We start from the raw sequence: 17,656 nt of genomic DNA on the forward strand, positions 1-17,656 counted from the left end.
CAGGTTAGGGAAAAATGAGGCATTTACTACCTTGTTTACTAGTTCATGAACATGGTATATCTCTTCATTTGTTAGATCTTTCTTAATTACCCCCAGTAATATTTTATGGTTTTCTGTGGTGTGGTCTTGTATATGTTTTGTTGGATTTTTTTAAATCAAATAGGTTTTTGAAATTTTTTTCTCTTGGATCAACTTTATTGCAATTAATTTAAATACAGTAAAACAAACTACTTTCAAGTATATGGTTTTAGTTTTTACAAATGTACATCCCAGTGTAATCAATGCCACAGTCAAGATATGGAGCATTTCTGTCACCCCCAAATCCCCTGTGAGCCCTTAGTCCCTCCTTCTCCCCTGCCCATCCTGGTGGATGAGTTCCACCTGCATTCACATTTTCTATAAACGGAATCCTGTGTCCGGCTTTGCATGTTTTGTGATTTGCCCACGTGGCTACACGTGTCAGTGGTTTGTTCCTTTCTGTTGTTGGACGGTGACCCACCTGGCCTCCCTGCTGGTTTATGCCTGCTTGCCTGTGGGTGGGCCTCCGTCCTTTCCAGTTCTGCCATCACGAGGAAACCTGCTGTGACTCCCATAGACTTGTTTTTAATGGACATGAATTTTTATTTCTCGAGTAAATGGGGGTGGAGTTACTGGCTCATATGATGGGGTACCTTTAACTTTAAAAGAAACCGCTAGTTTTCCAAAGTGGTTATAGCACTTCCGTTCCCACCTCAGTGAGTGAGAGCTCCAAACACTGTGACTTAGATTTGCTGTCCTGATGCTTGATGAAGAGCCTCTTTTCATATGTGTGTTGCCATCCTTTTACTTCTTTTGTGAAGTAATTTTTAAAATTTGCCAGTTTGGGCCGGGCGCAGTGGCTCACGCCTGTAATCCCAGCACTTTGGAAGGCCGAGGCGGGCGGATCACGAGGTCAGTAGTTCGAGACCAGCCTGACCAACATGGTGAAACCCCGTCTCTACTAAAAATACAAAAATTAGCCGGGTGTGGTGGCGCATGCCTGTAATCCCAGTTACTCGGGAGGCTGAGGCAGGAGACTTGCTTGAACTTGGGAGGTGGAGGTTGCAGTGAGCCAAGATCATGCCATTGCACTGTAGGCCTGGGCAACAAGAGCAAAACTTCATCTCGAAAAAAAAAAAAAAGCCTGTTTTTTGTTGTTGTTGTTGTTTGTTTGTTTATTGAGATGGAGTTTCGCTCTTGTCGCCCAGGCTGGAATGCAGTGGCACAATCTCGGCTCACTGCAACGTCTGCCTCCTGGGTTCAAGCGAGTCTCCTGCTTCAGCCTCCTGAGTAGCTGGGACTACAGGCGCCGGCCACCATGCCTGGCTAATTGTTTTTTTTTTTTTTTTGAGACGGAGTCTCACTCTGTCGCCCAGGCTGGAGTGCAGTGACGCAGTCTCGGCTCACTGCAAGCTCCGTCTCCTGGGTTCACCCCATTCTCCAGCCTCAGCCTCCTGAGTAGCTGGGACTACAGGCGCCCACCACCACGCCCAGCTAATTTTTTGTATTTTTAGTAGAGACAGGGTTTCACCGTGTTAGCCAGGATGGTCTCGATCTCCTGACCTTGTGATCTGCCCATCTCGGCCTCCCAAAGTGCTGGGATTACAGGCGTGAGCCACCGCACCGCACCCGGCCAACGCCTGGGTAATTTTTTTTTTTTTTGAAACGGAGTCTGGCTCTGTCACCCAGGCTGGAGTGCAGTGACACAATCTCGGCTCACTGCAAGCTCCGCCTCCCGGATTCACGCCATTCTCCTGCCTCAGCCTCCCAAGTAGCTGGGACTACAGGTGCCCGCCACCACGCCCAGCTAATTTTTTGTATTTTTAGTAGAGACGGGGTTTCGCCGTGTTAGCCAGGATAGTCTCGATCTCCTGACCTCGTGATCCGCCCGCCTCGGCCTCTCAAAGTGCTGGGATTACAGGCGTGAGCCACCACGCCCGGCCCAACGCCTGGCTAATTTTTATATTTTTAGTAGAGACGAGGTTTCGCCATGTTGGCCAGGCTGGTCTCGAACTCCTGACTGCAGGTGACCCACCCGCCTCAGCCTCCCAGAGTGCTGGGATTACAGGCGTGAGCCACTGTGCCTGGCCAATTTGCCTGTTTTTTAATTGGCTGCTTGTCTTCTTGAGTTGTAGGAGCTCTTTCCATCTTCTGACTCTGATGTACATATAAATATGTGTGTGATGTGAATATTTTCTTAGTCTGTGCCTTGCCTCCTCACTTTCTTAACAGTGTCTTTCAGGAAGCAGAATTTTGAAATTCTATTACTTTCCATGTCCTAAGAATTCCATGTCTATCCCAGGATTGTGAAGATTTTCTCCTTTTTTTTTAGAAGTCTTATGTAAAAATGCAAGTTAAGGCCAGACACACTGGCACGCTCCTGTAATCCCAGCACTTCTGGAGGCCGAGACGGAGTTTGAAGCTGCAGTGAGCCGTGATCGAGCCACTGCACTCCAGCCTGGCCTGTCTCTCAAAGATGTGGGTTTGAAGTAAGGATTGAGGTTCACTTGTGTCCATGTGGACAGTTAATCCAGCACCACTAGTTCTGCTTATACCAGCTGATGGAGATCTACGTCTGGACCATGTTTTGTTCCTTTGATCTATTTGCTGATCCTCAAACAATGACACATTCTCTTGACTGATAGTAAAGCTTGGAGCCAGGTAGTGTTAGGTCCTCATACTCCTCATACTCGGTTTTTTTTTCAAAACTGTTTTGCTCCTCCATGTCCTTTGCATTTCCATAGACAATTGAGAGCCCGGGCGTCAGTACAGGCCAAGGCTGCTGGAATTTTTGCTGAGACTGCACTAAATCTGCTGGCCATTATCGCATTGAGCCTTCTGACCCTGTGTCTGTAGGTGGCCCAGCTGTCTTTGAGTTTGATATTGAGTTTCTCTCAGCAGAGCCTTGTAGCTTTTAGTATGTAGATCTTACACTGTGTTTTGTTAAATGTATTCCTAAGCACATCATACTTTTCATGTATTATAAACAGTATTGTTTTTAAATTTCATCTTCCAGTTGTTTGTTGGAAATAATGCGGAAATACTTGATTTTTTTGTGCATTGACCTTGTTAAATGTATGAATTCTACTCACTTTTTGGACTATTAGGCTTGTCTGCACATGTGGTCACGTCATGTGTGAGTAAAGACAGTTTTTCTTCTCGCGTTCTGAGCCGTGCAGCTTTGTTTTCTGGAAGGTCGGGCATAATGCTTGTTCTCTTCCCGGCACTGGGGGAAGAGGTGTCCTTACCCTGTCTAATGTTAGCTTCAGGCCTTTTGTAAATGCTCCCTGGGTTGTCAGAATTCACTTCCTTGGCTGCAGGATGAGGCCTCTGCTTCCTTGCTGGCTGGCAACCGGGGGTGCTCTGAGCTCCTAGAGGCAGCTCTCTTCTTGAAGGCCAGCAGGAGAATGTCGGGGCTTTGCCACGCTGCCTTCCTCACATTCTGTGGGCCAGAAGCAAGTCACGCTCAAGGGGATGGGTTGATACAAGGGAGACTCTTGGGGCTGCCTTAGAATTCTACATGTGTGTGGGCCGACTCCCTCTCCTCACGGGCACCTGCCTTCCCCACTCCGAGCCACGGCCACGCTGACTTGCTTCCTGCAATCCTGCCTTTTCCACAATATCATGTAAGTGGAATCACATGCCATCTGGCCTTTACCATTTCCTGGCTGGGTCATGTGTGAGTGACCTTCAACTGTATGAGAAACTGCCCAGAGGTGCCACCCTGGGCACCTCTGTTTGTGTCCTGTGGATTTGGCTGGGCCATCAGTCTTGGGTGGGAGGGCAAGTGCAGCACCAGCTGACCCATCACAGTCAGAAGCAGGAGCCCTTAGCATCTCAGAAACCCTGATGCTCTTGTATTTGAAGGAGGCATATTTTTCCTCTTGTTGCTTGATGGATAGAAATAGAGTAGGTTTTTAAAATTAACTCTTTAACCTGTGGCCTAAAGTCACCTATTAAGTGTAATGATATGTGTGGGTCCATTGTTTTGTGTGTGTGTGCCCGTGTCATCACCACGCAGGCTGCCCCGGTCCCCTTGGTTTCACTTCTCATTCTTGTCGTCTACACCGGCGGGGCTGCCCAGTGTCAGGGAGGAGGCGTGGCCTTTCAGGACTGTTTCCCGTGATGCTGTTGTGCAGGCGTCGGGATGCTTTTATCAGAATAACAAAGTTCTCTTTTCTGTCCCAAAGAGTTTCATGAATTGTTGTTGAATTTTGTTGAACATTTAAAAAAATCTATTGAAATAAGCCTATGATTTTTCTCCTTGTTCTGTTAATGTGAATATCTGATTTATATGCTATTGTTACTGGAAATAATTTATGTGTATTTTAACCATGTGGCGTCAGTGCTGTGTTGTGTGGTCAGTCTGGGTCCATAGGGGGTGGGTGGGTGGGGCGGTGTGTTCCTGTTTCTGTGCCGTCTCCTTGCTGCCATATCTCCTGCCCTGGTCTCTCCTTCCAGCATCTGGCATCTCTGTAGGTCTGTTTCTAGCATCTGTTTTGCTGCTTATCTTCTTCTTTCCCTGTCTCCTCATGTTTCTGGTTAGTTTTGTTTGAGTGCCAGACATTGTATTTTCAAACCTGCTTGAAGAAGATGCACTGGGTCACCCCGGTCCACTTCCAGGCACCAGGAGGCCTCAGAGCTAAGCTGCAGGCCGTGGCCTCTGTCACCCCAGCTGACTTTAGCCTCCAGGTGGCCCTGGTTCCTGGGGCCTGTCTCAGTCCGTTGAGGCTGCTGTAACAGAACACCATAGACTGCACAACAGACTGGTTTCTCACAGTGCTGGAGGCCAGAAGTCCAAGGTCAAGGCACCTACTGGTTTGGTTCTCAGGAGGACCCCACCGCCTGGCTCATGGAGGGACCCTGCCTTCTCACTGCGTGATAACCAGTGAGACCAAGACAGGCGGGTGGAGCCGCAGCCCAGAGGAGAGGGGAGAGCTTTGCTGGGGCTTCGAAACCACCTCCTAATGGCAGCATTGTGCACACAGGCCTGTCTCCCTGCTGATGCGGCTGTGGCCTTCACTGGCCAGGTTCCTCCTGCTCACCTAGGGCCGCACCTCCCAAACTGTCTGTGTGGAAGGGCCATTTCCATATTCCCAGTTCACTGTGGGCCAATCCTTTTGTAAAATAAGGACTGCAACTTACCAGGCTGCTTTTAAGTTGTCACATTCAACAGGCACAATACTGCTCCATCAGATCGCTGCTGGAGGCTCTCAGTTCCTTGACTCGCTTGTCATGTTGGCCGGGGGGTCCCCGCCTCCTCCCCCACACGTCTGTGCTGTGCCTTCACACCTGTTCCATGGCATGGACTTTCTGTGCTTCCTTCTCCTGTCTGGAGCCACGCCTGCCCTCACCTCCTCAGGGACATCCTGTCAGCACTCTCCACACTCCTTGATGCCCCAGAGCTGCCACACTCGCCTGATTCCTTGCCTTCCAGTCTGTCTGCAACCAGATGCAGCCAGGCCTCGCCTCCCATGAGTGTCCCTAAGTCCAGGGCAGGCTCTGGTCCCCACCCACCCGAGGCAGCAGCATCTAGCCCTGCTCCTCCCTGCACCCTCTCACTTCTCAGCCATGGACACACAGGCCCAGGTACGGTTCTTGTTCATTTTGGGGATGTGGAGAGCCACGAACACACCAAAGCCTCCTAGGTGTCTGCTACAGCTCTGACCCACGCCCGGACCCCAGACCCCAGACCCCTGTCCACCTGAGCGCCAAAATCTCTGGGTGCCAGGAAGCTTTCTGATTCTGCCTTCAAAGTATTTCCTGGACCATTGCAGTGGGCACCCACCCCTGGGTCTGCCCCAGCCCTGGTGTTGCCATCTGTTCTCAGCCTGGGGCTACAGGGACCCCAAGCCCTCTGCTTTTGGCTCAAACCTTGCACAGCCCATTCCCCACTGACTGCCCCCCTCCACTGCTGTCACAATTGCTCGCACTCCCTCATGCTGTTCTGGAGCTGTTGAACATGCCCTCTGGGATCCTGCCCACCCGCCCTCCCGGTCCTTACCTTCTTTAGGCCTTTGTTCAAATCTCCCATCAACTTGGCGCCCCAGGGAGCCCTCTCCATGGTGTGCTTGCCCGAAACCTAGGTGGAAGGTTCTTCATCAGAGAAACCTTGGAAGAGCAGCACAGGAGGGTACATTTAAAGCCCTCAGCGGTGTCCGTTCCTTTGAGGGTTCTGGGATCTGAAGCCTCTGAACCGTAGGAGCAGCTAGGGGAGGCCGTGCCCCTGTGTGAAGGGGCTCCTTGTGCCAGCCGACAGGGTGCGACGGGGTGGTCGGCCCGGCTGCCATCGTGGGAGGGACGTGGACGAACGGCACGCAGTGGGAGGCCATGGGCAAGGTTGATGGCCCATGGGGGCGGCCCCTTTGTCTCTTGGGGCTACAGCCTGTGCTGTGACCATCCACAGGCCCCAGGGGGGTGCTGGCGGGCATCAGGGAAGTCCCGGTGACAAGGGGCATCAGCAGGGGTCAGAGGGGTGTGCCCAGGAGGAGCCCCTCTGCATTCTTCAGGGTGCATGGAACCCACACCCTGTCCCCAAAGATGCCCTGGACATGCCCTGGGGTGGGGGGTGGGGGGCAGCACATGCCAGGCTGCCACATGTGTGTGTGGCCTCAGGGAGTCTGGGCTGGGTCATCAGGCATGACCATTGCCAAGGCCACATCCTGACTCTAGGCCCCTCTGGTCTGGGCAGTGAGGCCAAGCAGAGCACAGGGTCTCGAGACCCCATGACCTCTAGGGTCACGCGGAGGCTCCTGGGGTCAGACTGAGAAAGGGGCTCGTCCTGAGAAGCCACAAAGTGTGCTCCTGCGGGGGTGCGGGGTGGGGGAGGTACCACGTCTCCCGGGCAGCCACAGATCCCACACTCACGGCCCAAGTGACGCTTGGTGCAGAGCTGGAAGGTTCTCAGGGTGGGAGGAGGGTTATTTTTAACGCACTGCACTAGAGCATCTCTAAGGCCGGTGGTTCTGGACAGAAAAACCACAAAAATGAGAAGACCAGGAATAGCAAGTCCCCAGCCCTGGGGCCTCATGTCTGCAATGAGCCCTTGGTGGCTCTGAGCAGTGCCAGTTCAGCACCTTGGAGAGCTGCCGCCTCTGTGCCTCCCCTCCTGCTTGCTGCGTGGGGGCTTGTGGAGCCTGCTAGGAATCCTGGGAAGAGCCCAGATGGGCCTGGCCCTCCCAGATGGCCTCTTTTGCCTCTGGCGAAGTGAAGTGAGCACCTGTAGTGAGGTCCACTCCAAGCACCAGGCCCGGGTGTCTGTACAGAGCCCGGGTGGGGCATCCAGGCACCACGGGGAGGCCCCCGCCCTGGTCTCACAGACGTTGCCACTGGAGCTCGTGCCGTGCGCCCACTGCCACCACCTGTCTGCCACCTGCACCTCCTCACCTGCGGCAGCACTTTCTCCACACAGGTTCTTCTCTGATGCCTCTTCCCTAATTTTAAAGGCATTCAGGTCTCTTACTTAGTTAAAAAATAGAAGAAAAATGTTTTACTTCTCTGCCACTTCCTTCAGAGATTCCTTTTTCTTGCCTTTGCAATTCCTTTTTGACCACACATTGTGAAAATTTTCAGACATACCAGAAAGCAGAGAGAATCAGGAGAGTGGAGACTCCTATTCCCCCACTTGGACTTGATGGTTGTTAGTATCTTGCTTTATTTGTTTCATCCTTTTTTGCTGATACAGTGTAAAGTTAGTTACAAATGTGACATTTTACCCCCAGTGACGTCAGAGTGTGCCTGTGAATAGTGCTGCCTGACGAGATTGAGATTGCCGTCACGTGAGGTTCATCTACAGACTCCTAGTTTCCCCGATGTCTTTTCCTGGTTCGCCCCTCTGGAGTCAGCTGGGGCTGTCCCTTGTATGATACTTGGCACATCCCAGAAGTTTCTTCCTACCAGCAGCCCACACAGTGGCCTATGGGGGAGACTGGCCAACGGCCTGAGAAATCCCATGGTCCACATTTCTGTGTGCCCCCCGTGGTGTCACCTCACTTGTTCTCTTATCCCGTGTTTGCGGCCAGCTGGGAGGAAGGGCTGAGGTTTGGCGACACTCACACCGGGGCTGCTGTGTCCCATAGGGAGCTTTATGGCCACCTCGACTGGCCACCCCGAGCATCCATGCCTTCCCTGTTTATTAACAGACATTCTTCTGTTTAAATAAATAAACCTTAAACCTGGGCTTTGTGGTTACTCCTCAGAGAAAGGCAAGATCAATGCTTTATTCTTACCATTTAGTTATCAAGTTTCAGAGGGAGGAAGTAGCAGCAAAGAAATTTTGGTCTTTTTTTTCTTTCCTCTGTTTTGAGTGTTAATGTGGGCTCATGGATTTTTACTTTTTTTTTTTGTTTACATTTTTACATGTGTGTTTGATCAGTTATAGCCATTCTTATTTAATGGTCAAACTGCCCCATCTTTGGCCATGGGGAGCCCATGCAGGCGAGCCCGTCTCCTTTGGTGACACTGCTCTTCGGTACCATGTGACACCCAGGCCTCCCTTATGTTCCTTGCCCCACACTTGGAATCAGCCATTTCTCCAGGATGTCCTTGTGCTTTTGGAAGAGAAAGATTTTTAGACACTGAAATGAGACTCTGGGGTGCCCACTGCTGTCAGGGTGCCATGGGCTCTTGACTCACTTTTCAGAGGACAGAGTTATGAAGTAAATAGATTTTTAAAAATGTGTTCATGTTAATATTTCCAATTCAAATTTAACAGTGTAGAGTTTTTATCCAACTTCTTTGATTTTATATTTGCATCTCTTACAATAAAAATTTTGGTTTCTAAAATCTTTAGTTTCAAAATAGCACTCCAGATATTACCGATAACAGTAAGCACCAGTCCAGCTCCCGGATGGCATCTGCGCTTCTTTGCAGCGTCTCACTCCTTAGAACATGTCCCATGGAAGCTGGGCCCAGTCTTGTGCTTCGCGGCACCAGAAATGTTGCTTGTGTGATTGTGTCACTGGCTTGATAGGCAGTTACATTAATTTTAGTTCATTTTAAATGTTACAATTTAATTTTTTGTTTTTTGATTGTGTAAAATTTTTGCATGCTTGGGAAGTTCACACCCAGAAAAGCCTTGCTTCTCTCCATGTTCTCTGTATTCTGTTTCCTGCTGTCTTAGTCCATTCGAGCTGTGATAGCAAAACACTGTAAACCGTGAGGCTTACAAATAACAGGAATGTATTTCTCACTGCTCTGGGGGCTGGAAGTCCCAAGATGAAGGTGTTAGTAGATCTGGTGTCTGGGGAGGGTTTCCTGGTTCGTAGCCAGTGCCTTCTCACTGTGTCCCCACGTGGTGGAGGGGGTGCAGCAGTTCTCTGGGGTCCCTTTTATGAGGGCACAATTCCCTCCACTCCCATGACCTAATCGCTTTCCCAAAGCCTCACCCTAACCTTGGGGTCTCAGCCTGTGAGTCTGGTCGGGGGGCACACACATTCCAACTGTAGCACCTGCAGTAACCATCAGCAGAAATCGAGAAAAAATACTCAAGTAGATTTCTTATTCCTTCTCTTTTCTTACACAAAAAGTGGTAGAGTGTAGATAGTGCACGAGCCCTTACCTTTCTCCCGACAGGATTTGGGGAGAGTCATCATATTGTCCGTACATGGAAATCTTTCTCCTTCTTTTTGGGGCATTCAGGTTGATTTCAGCCCTTGCTATTTATCTCAAATAATGTTGCGTACAAGTCAATTTGTTTGACTTTACCTGTCATTAGGCAAATCTCTGAGATTCTGTTCATCCACCCAGTGATGGCTTCAGCAGCCAGTGAATTTCGATGTAGAATTTCCGTTGGATTCTTTTTCTGTTTCTCCGCTGAGACTTCTCATTTCTCTGATATTTTCATGCCTTGAAATCTTTCTTTGTTCTTCATTGAGGACAGCCTTAGGAGCTGCCTTGAAAATACGTGTCTGTTGGCCCAGTGTCTGGTTCATCTCAAGGCTGGACTCAGTTGAGTGTTCTTTCGGACGTGTTCGTTTCCTCAGTGTTTCAAGCGTCAGGTCCCTTGAGTTGTTCCTGTTAACATGTGGGGAGGACTCTGGTTTCTCTTCTGCGTGGGCCTTGTTTCCCTAGTGCGATTGGCTGGGCCCCTTCTGCAGGCCCGGCCTCTCTAGTGGTCCCTGTGCTTTCGCCTCAGTCCTAGGATTGGCTGGGCTCCCTCCACAGGCTCCGCCTCCTACGTGGCTGCTGCACTTCGCCCCAGTCCTAGGATTGGCTGGGCTCCCTCCACAGGCTCCGCCTCCTACGTGGCCGCTGCACTTCGCCCCAGTCCTAGGATTGGCTGGGCTCCCTCCACAGGCTCCGCCTCCTACGTGGCCGCTGCACTTCGCCCCAGTCCTAGGATTGGCTGGGCTCCCTCCGCAGAACCCCCCAACCCCACGTGGCCCCTGTGCCTTCCCTCCAGTCCTAGGATTGGCCAGGCTCCCTCCACAGGCCCCACCTCCTACATGGCCTGTGTGCCTTCATTCCAGTCCTAGGATTGGCTGGGCTCCCTCCTCAGGCCCCGCTTCCCACGTGGCCTCTGCACCTCGCTCCCGTCCTAGAATTGGCTGGGCTCCCTCCACAGGCCCCGCCTTCCACGTGGCCTCTGCACCTCGCTCCCGTCCTAGAATTGGCTGGGCTCCCTCCACAGGCCCCGCCTCCCACGTGGCCACTGCACTTTGCTCCCATCCTAGGATTGGCTGGTCTCCCTCAGGCCCCGCCTCCCACGCGGCCTCTGCACCTCGCTCCAGTCCTAGGATTGGCTGGGCTCCCTCCGCAGGCCCTCCCCCCACCCACCCATGTGGCCCCTGTGCCTTCTCTCCAGTCCTAGGATTGGCTGGGCTCTCTCCGCAGGCCCCGCCTCCCACGTTGCCTATCTGCCTTACTCCAGCCGTCCTTCTCTGGACTGTTGTCTTTATCTGGTTCTGGTCGGGCAGAGATTTGTGTCACAGACTTTGACACCCCACCCATCTTAGAAGCTCGGAGCAGCGCTGTGTGCTCTGCCAGACGAGCTGCCCCTGGTGAAAGCTGGGCCTGGCCCCTCCAGTCGGAAGCCCCTCACTCTCCATTTTGCTGCTTATCAAGACCTTCGTGTGTGCGCCGTTGCTAGTTCCGGAATTGCATTCTGCACGAGGAGGGGTCGCCTATAGATTCTTAGTCCATCAGACCCCGAAGCAGAGGCCAAAGTCCACGCCAGGTGAGCCACTCTGAACTCTGTTTCTTTGGGGTAAACCAGGAGGCAGCTTCCCGCGCCTTTGGCTTTGGGGGCTGTGGCTGGTCCTGTCCTGCGGCCGTGCTCGCCTGGTTTACTGTCTTGTCACTGCCCGCGCCGTGAAGGTTGACGGAGAGCTGCTCTCGTCCACGCCTTTACCCGCTTGTTGGTTTGGGTTTTAACCTCTTGACCTCTGAGCGTCCCTGGCTCTCTGGTTAATGTTCATGCTGGGGCAGGTTGTGGACCAGGTGTCTCTGCCGGCAGGCCCCGCCCTCTCGGAACTCGGTCCTGGAAAGCCCCAGGTGCCTCCTTCCCCGTCTGCCTGGCTGTCGTCTGTGGTGTTGCCTCTTCCCGTCGCTGGGTAACAAACCACGCCACCCACCCGCAGCTCGCCATGGCGGCCACCCACTCGGCCCAGTGTGCGCAGCAGGGGTTGGGCGTGCCGGGCCTCGGGCTGCACAGGCAGGGTGCTGCTGAGCCCAGGTCCCTGTGGTTGCGTGGGCAGCGTCTAGGTTCCTTGCTAGCTGCCGGCCGGGACCACCTACCTTACTCCCACGCAGCTCCTCCATCCAGGCCCCAGCAGCTCCAAGCCCTGGGTCTCCAGAGAGAATTGCTTTTAAAGGGGTTGCGTGGTTAGGTCAGGCCCACCCACCTCGTCCCCCTCTCTATGGTCAATTCAGAATCCATCATCACAGGCCAGTGCCAGGGGCCAGGGCCCAGGGCCATGTGGCCACCCGGAATCCTGGGCTCCTCTCCAAGGCACCAGGGTGAGGAGGACGCCTCAGTCTCTTCGGCCTCGTGTTCCACAGTCACATCAGCACCCGGAAGGGCTGCAGCAGAAGTCGTTTTCTGTGGGCAGCCTCCGCCTGACGGTCCTCCCTGGTGCCATTCGCCACTGAGTCTTCCCAGACCCTCTGGGGACTGCTCCGCCTCCTCGTCACCAAGACAGTGTGTCCCGGATGCCAGCTCCATCCCTCCCGACCCCCTCAGCCCCTGCCACTGCCTCACGGGGCTCTTGCAGCCCCGGCCTCCTTTCTCCTATTGGTGCCAGACAGCCCCATGGGTCCTCGGGTGGGATGGCGCTGTCCACATTCCACCGCGCTGGAAGCCCCATGGGGACGCCGTCAAGGGAACGGCCCGCACCACCCCCACCCCACCACAGACGGAGGCCCAGCGAGGACGGCAGGGTGCGGGGTGGGTGGCCACACAGCGAGGAGAAGGCTGGCGGAGGCTCCGCACCGCCGCCACAGGTCACTGGAGAAGGCCCCTCCTGCATGGCGGGCCTGCGCCCAACTGCAGGCTCCGGGACTGCCATGCATGGCCGTACCCGGCGAGGCCGGCGTGTCGGGGCCTTGCTAACTGCAGCCCGTGCCGGCTTCTCGCCCTGCAGGACGGGGAGGTTTACTGCATCGACGCGCGGTTCTACGGGAACGTCAGCCGGTTCATCAACCACCACTGCGAGCCCAACCTGGTGCCCGTGCGCGTGTTCATGGCCCACCAGGACCTGCGGTTCCCCCGGATCGCCTTCTTCAGCACCCGCCTGATCGAGGCCGGCGAGCAGCTCGGGTACGCACCGCCCCGGCCCCTGGCCATCTCCGCTGCCGGCGGGACGGTTTTAGGAACGGGGCTCGCATTGCTTTCCTGGGCTTGTCTCGGGTTTATGCTAGTGGTTTTCCTGTAGTTCTAAAAACTGCGACCTGGGATGCGGCACGGCAGATCGGGGTGAGGAAGCTTTGGCCTTGCCTTAATTTATCTGGCTTGTGGGAGGTGCCGGTGGGATTCGACTTGGAGCCTTGGTTCTGTTCCCTCCCCAGGTTTGACTATGGAGAGCGCTTCTGGGACATCAAAGGCAAGCTCTTCAGCTGCCGCTGCGGCTCCCCCAAGTGCCGGCACTCGAGCGCGGCCCTGGCCCAGCGTCAGGCCAGCGCGGCCCAGGAGGCCCAGGAGGACGGCTTGCCCGACACCAGCTCCGCGGCTGCCGCCGACCCCCTATGAGACGCCGCCGGCCAGCGGGGCGCTCGGGAGCCAGGGACCGCCGCGTCGCCGATTAGAGGACGAGGAGGAGAGATTCCGCACGCAACCGAAAGGGTCCTTCGGGGCTGCGCCGCCGGCTTCCTGGAGGGGTCGGAGGTGAGGCTGCAGCCCCTGCGGGCGGGTGTGGATGCCTCCCAGCCACCTTCCCAGACCTGCGGCCTCACCGCGGGCCCAGTGCCCAGGCTGGAGCGCACACTTTGGTCCGCGCGCCAGAGACGCTGGGAGTCCGCACTGGCATCACCTTCTGAGTTTCTGATGCTGATTTGTCGTTGCGAAGTTTCTCGTTTCTTCCTCTGACCTCCGAGGTCCCCGCTGCACCACGGGGTTGCTCTGTTCTCCTGTCCGGCCCAGACTCTTCTGTGTGGCGCCGCCGAAGCCACCGTTAGCGCGAGCTGCTCCGTTCGCCCTGCCCACGGCCTGCGTGGCTGGGGCCGAGTCCCAGGGGCCGCACGGAGGGCACAGTCTCCTGTCAGGCTCGGAGAGGTCAGGAGACCGACCCCACCACTAACTTTGGAGAAAATGTGGGTTTGCTTTTTAAAGGAATCCTATATCTAGTCCTATATATCAAACCTCTAACTGACGTTTCTTTTCGAGGAAGTGGCTTGGTGGGTGCAGCCCCCGCCGGTTCCGTTGACGCTGGCACCTTCTGTTGATTTTTTAAGCCACATGCTATGATGAATAAACTGATTTATTTTCTACCATTACTGAACATTAGGACAAACACAAAATAAAAAACAAAACACAGACAACGGTGCTGATTCTGGTGTGGTTTCTACTCACCACGTGAAATAAACTATCAACTGTATAAAGAGAACAAAGTGATTTTAGAATAAAATGCAGGAAAAACTTTTTTAAAGATGTTAGTCTTGTAGCGTGAATAAATTTGCCATCACCTTTTGTGTGGTGGCCTGGCAGGTCATATACTTTTTTTTGGCATATACCTTTTTAAAGACTGTAATTAGTGCAGTAACAGTGGGGTTTTTTTTGTGCAACTCTTCTAAAAACATTCATAATGCAGTCATGTTTATTTTTTTCTGTTAAAATGTTTTTGACAGTTTTAAGAGCAGTCTTTTGGCTCTGACCATTTCTTGTTCTGTTTCCAATGAAATCAATAAAAAAAAAGAAGTACTTTAAATGGGGTTTTTATTATGACACCATATTTCAGGGTCTCTGCAGAACTTGCAGGTCCCCCTGGACCCGGCCCAGCTCTCTGTCCCCTGTCCAAGGAAGTACAGCTTCCTTTTCACCCCAGATCTGTCCCCGAAGAGGGGACGTTCCAGGCAGAGGTTAGGGGAGCCTGTGCATTTGCGCACGTGTCGAATGAGTCTGTGTGTGTCCACGAATGCATCGTGCACGTGGTGCGAATGCGGGCACACTGGTGTGTGTGTGTGTGTGTGTGTGTTTGCATGTCTGTGTCTAGCGCCAGGTGCCCAGCTCTGGGCGTCATTCTGGAAGCCGACAGGGCACATCAGGTGAGTCCCACAACCAGAGGCAGAGCTGCACTTGAACAGCGAGGCCGGACAAGGGAGAGCCAGAGCCCGTCCTACTTCCTGCCAGCCATGACCCCCACTCCTCTACGGGGACCCCTAGACCCAAAGCCTCCAGCCTGCTATGTTCTCCATGCTGACTGGCCTCACTCACCACAGGAGGGCTTTTCGTGTAACCTCAGTAACACGCTCAGACACTCCACGGTTTAATACACAGAATTCACGCAGGTGTTTTTGATGCTTTTCCAGCACAGTCATAACTGCCCTGCACTTTGTGAATAGACGGCCCCAGCAGGGTGCGCGGTCGTCCAGCCTGAGGTACGAGTGCCTGTCACCAGACATTGCGCAACTGCATGAAGGACTGGGCAGGCGGACCCAGGATGGATATGGCCCACCTGTGACCCCTCTGCACAGGGCCACAGGGGAGGCCGCATTCCTCCAGGAGCCCAGACAGCCTACGGCCTTTCACGTCTGCGTCCGTGAGGAGGGGCTGTGTGGGGTGGGCTGGGTTCCCGCCAAGCCCGGGCTCAGGAGGGTGTAGGGGTCGCAGGTCACCTCATCCCAGAGGCAGTGGCAGGAGGTGACTGAGGGCCCACTGGAGCTTGAACCTCAGGCTCTGCCGGCTCCACCAGCCCTGCAGGGGGAGCAGCCCTGCCAGAGGAGCAGCTGGTACAACCCCTTCCCCTGGGACAGCCCGTAGCTGGCAGATGACTCTAATTAATTTTTGTGGCTTGAGTGTCCACCTGTTCTGCTCCGTGCCCTGGGTCAGCTGCTGGGTGTACAAACAGGTATTGGTTGAATTAAGCCAACAGCAAACTTTTTGGGTGTCACGAAGGCCCACCAGGGTGGCCCCACAACTGGGCCCTGTCACAGAAAGTTCCAGCCGTTTAAAATGAGCACCCAACACAGAGCCCACCTCACATGGTCCTGGACAGCTCTGCCGTGACCGCCTTGTCCCTAAACCAGACTCGGCTTGGGAGGAAGAGACCTTACAGGGCCTTTGCGCTGTGGGGCAGCAGCTGCACGTGCTCCGGGGAGTGCAGGCCTGGGAAGGGGGCTGAGGGGACCTGCGGCAGGTGCGGGGAACAGGCAGGTGAGTCTCACAGGGACCAGGTGGGCCGGGGCAGGGCAGGAGGCCTCCCCCTCCCCCTCCCCCTCCCCTCCCTCTTTCTCCTCTTTGGATAAATAAAAATGGAAAACCCATGCAGGTTGGCCCTCTGGTCCTGCAGCAGCCAGAACCCCTCACGTGGGCAAAGCTCCTAGCAGGTTCTTAGCCCACTTGGGCAGAGAGCAGCCTGCACCCTTGTCCTGGCCCAGGCTGTAGTCTGTGAGAGAAAACAGGCTTGTGGGGCTGGAGGGGAGGCCCCTCTGAGCTCACTGGGTGGGGGTCGGCCTGCTGAGGCACTCAGTGAGTGGACTTGGGTGTGACACTGTGGAGCCCAGGGGGCCCCAGCCGGGAAGGCCAAGGAGATGGCAGCAGTGCCCACACACAGTGGGTCCTTGTGCTTGCTGGCTCCTGGCACCCCCGCCCCCCACATGCAGGCTTGAGGGACCCAGGGCCCCTTTTTTAGCTCCTCCCCTGACCCATGGTGACTCGGGAACGTAGTTCCCCCAGGGCAGGGAACAGGGCTCAGCCTCCGGCCAGGCTCCGTCAGTCCTGGGAGTGTGAGCTGGGGCCTTCCTGGGTCAGTGCGTTCCGAGGGGGCTGAATAGGGCCCTGGGGTCCCCAGCTGTGCACACCCCCTCAGGGTCTTTTGAGGCTGGGTGGACTGAGGCCCTCCCCACAGAAGGGCAGCCACCGAAACGGATGGGTTGTGAGCAGAGGCCACCCAGGTAACTCGAGGTTGCACTTGTTTTTGTGAAAGTCACACCTACTTATTACCAAAAACTCAACGCACGAGACCTGGAAGAGGAACGTGAAACACTCCAGAAATCCCCCTTCTCACCCCCGCCTGACACGGGCGACAGCTGCGGCCCGCTGTGTTCACTCGGGCCGAGTGCGTCTCCTGTCAGGCAAGGGAGAGCAGAGCCCCCCTGGCTTTGGCAGGAGCGTCGGACGCAACGCGCGTCTGGACCAGGTGAAACCTTTGTGACGTATGTATGATATTTCTTTCGCGAAGTGCAATGACGCTGCGAAGGAGAATCCCGTACCTCATCTTTATCCATTTGTGCAATTGCCTTCTTAGGGAAGGGGTCAGAGGGCACGAATGGTGCCTTTTGAGATCGCTTACCAAAACATCACACAGAAGACGCCAGCCAGTTTTGCCTTCACTGATGTACGTCTCCCCCAGCTCTCACTGAGGCCCCCCCCCGTTGCACTTCCTGCTTTTCTAATTGTCCAGAGGGTGACTCTCACTGCAGTGTTATTTTGCAGTTTCATTGTTGATAAAATTGAGCATCTCTTCTTCTTATATTTATTACAGACTAGCCTGTCCTCCTGTGTGAATTGCCTTTGTGCAAAAATTCTGTTGTGCTGCCTATATTTTTCTTATTGATTTTTGTGAGCTCTTTATATATTGTAGTTTTATATCTATACTGAATTTAAATTTGTTATGTGGCAGAAATCTGTCTTGTGACTTCTGATTGTGTAATACATTTAGAAAGACCTTCTGCATCCCCAAATTATAAAAAAAATATGCTCCAGTGCTTGTCCTAGTTCTTTGTTTTTAGGTTTCGCTCTTGAATCCAGGTGGAATTTATTTGGTGTATGGTGTGAAATGACAATATAAATTTTTTAGGCTTTTTGTTGAGGCATAATTGGCATTTGTCAGAATGCATGGATCGAGTGCAGCTCAGTGCATTCTGACAAATGCCTTTGCCATGGGACCCACCCCTTATCAGGAGAGAGGCTGTTTCCATCCCCCAGCCAACATTCTCTCTTCCTCCCCTCTCTGGCCCTGCCCACAAGACACATCACCCATCTGAT

At 54.0% G+C, this 17,656-nt stretch overlaps 1 protein-coding gene and 1 non-coding gene across 28 annotated transcripts in view; both read left to right on the forward strand.

The window, feature by feature from the left end:
• EHMT1 (euchromatic histone lysine methyltransferase 1) overlaps positions 1–14,378 on the forward strand; it is a 217,123-nt gene extending 202,745 nt beyond the window's left edge. For all 27 annotated transcript variants that reach the window (XM_047423872.1, XM_047423875.1, XM_047423878.1 and 24 more), the window contains 2 exons: positions 12,600–12,775; positions 13,024–14,378. In XM_047423872.1, the coding sequence (XP_047279828.1) occupies positions 12,600–12,775; positions 13,024–13,204 (357 nt within the window). In that variant the 3' untranslated portion in view covers positions 13,205–14,378. The remainder of the gene's footprint in view (positions 1–12,599; positions 12,776–13,023) is intronic.
• MIR602 (microRNA 602) lies at positions 16,670–16,767 on the forward strand. Its single transcript, NR_030333.1, has one exon. It is a non-coding gene; the product is annotated as a microRNA 602 (primary transcript).
• Positions 16,768–17,656: the final 889 nt, after the last annotated feature.

This window comes from Homo sapiens, chromosome 9, assembly GCF_000001405.40.
Source record: "Homo sapiens chromosome 9, GRCh38.p14 Primary Assembly".
In the NCBI taxonomy this organism is placed as follows: domain Eukaryota; kingdom Metazoa; phylum Chordata; class Mammalia; order Primates; family Hominidae; genus Homo; species Homo sapiens.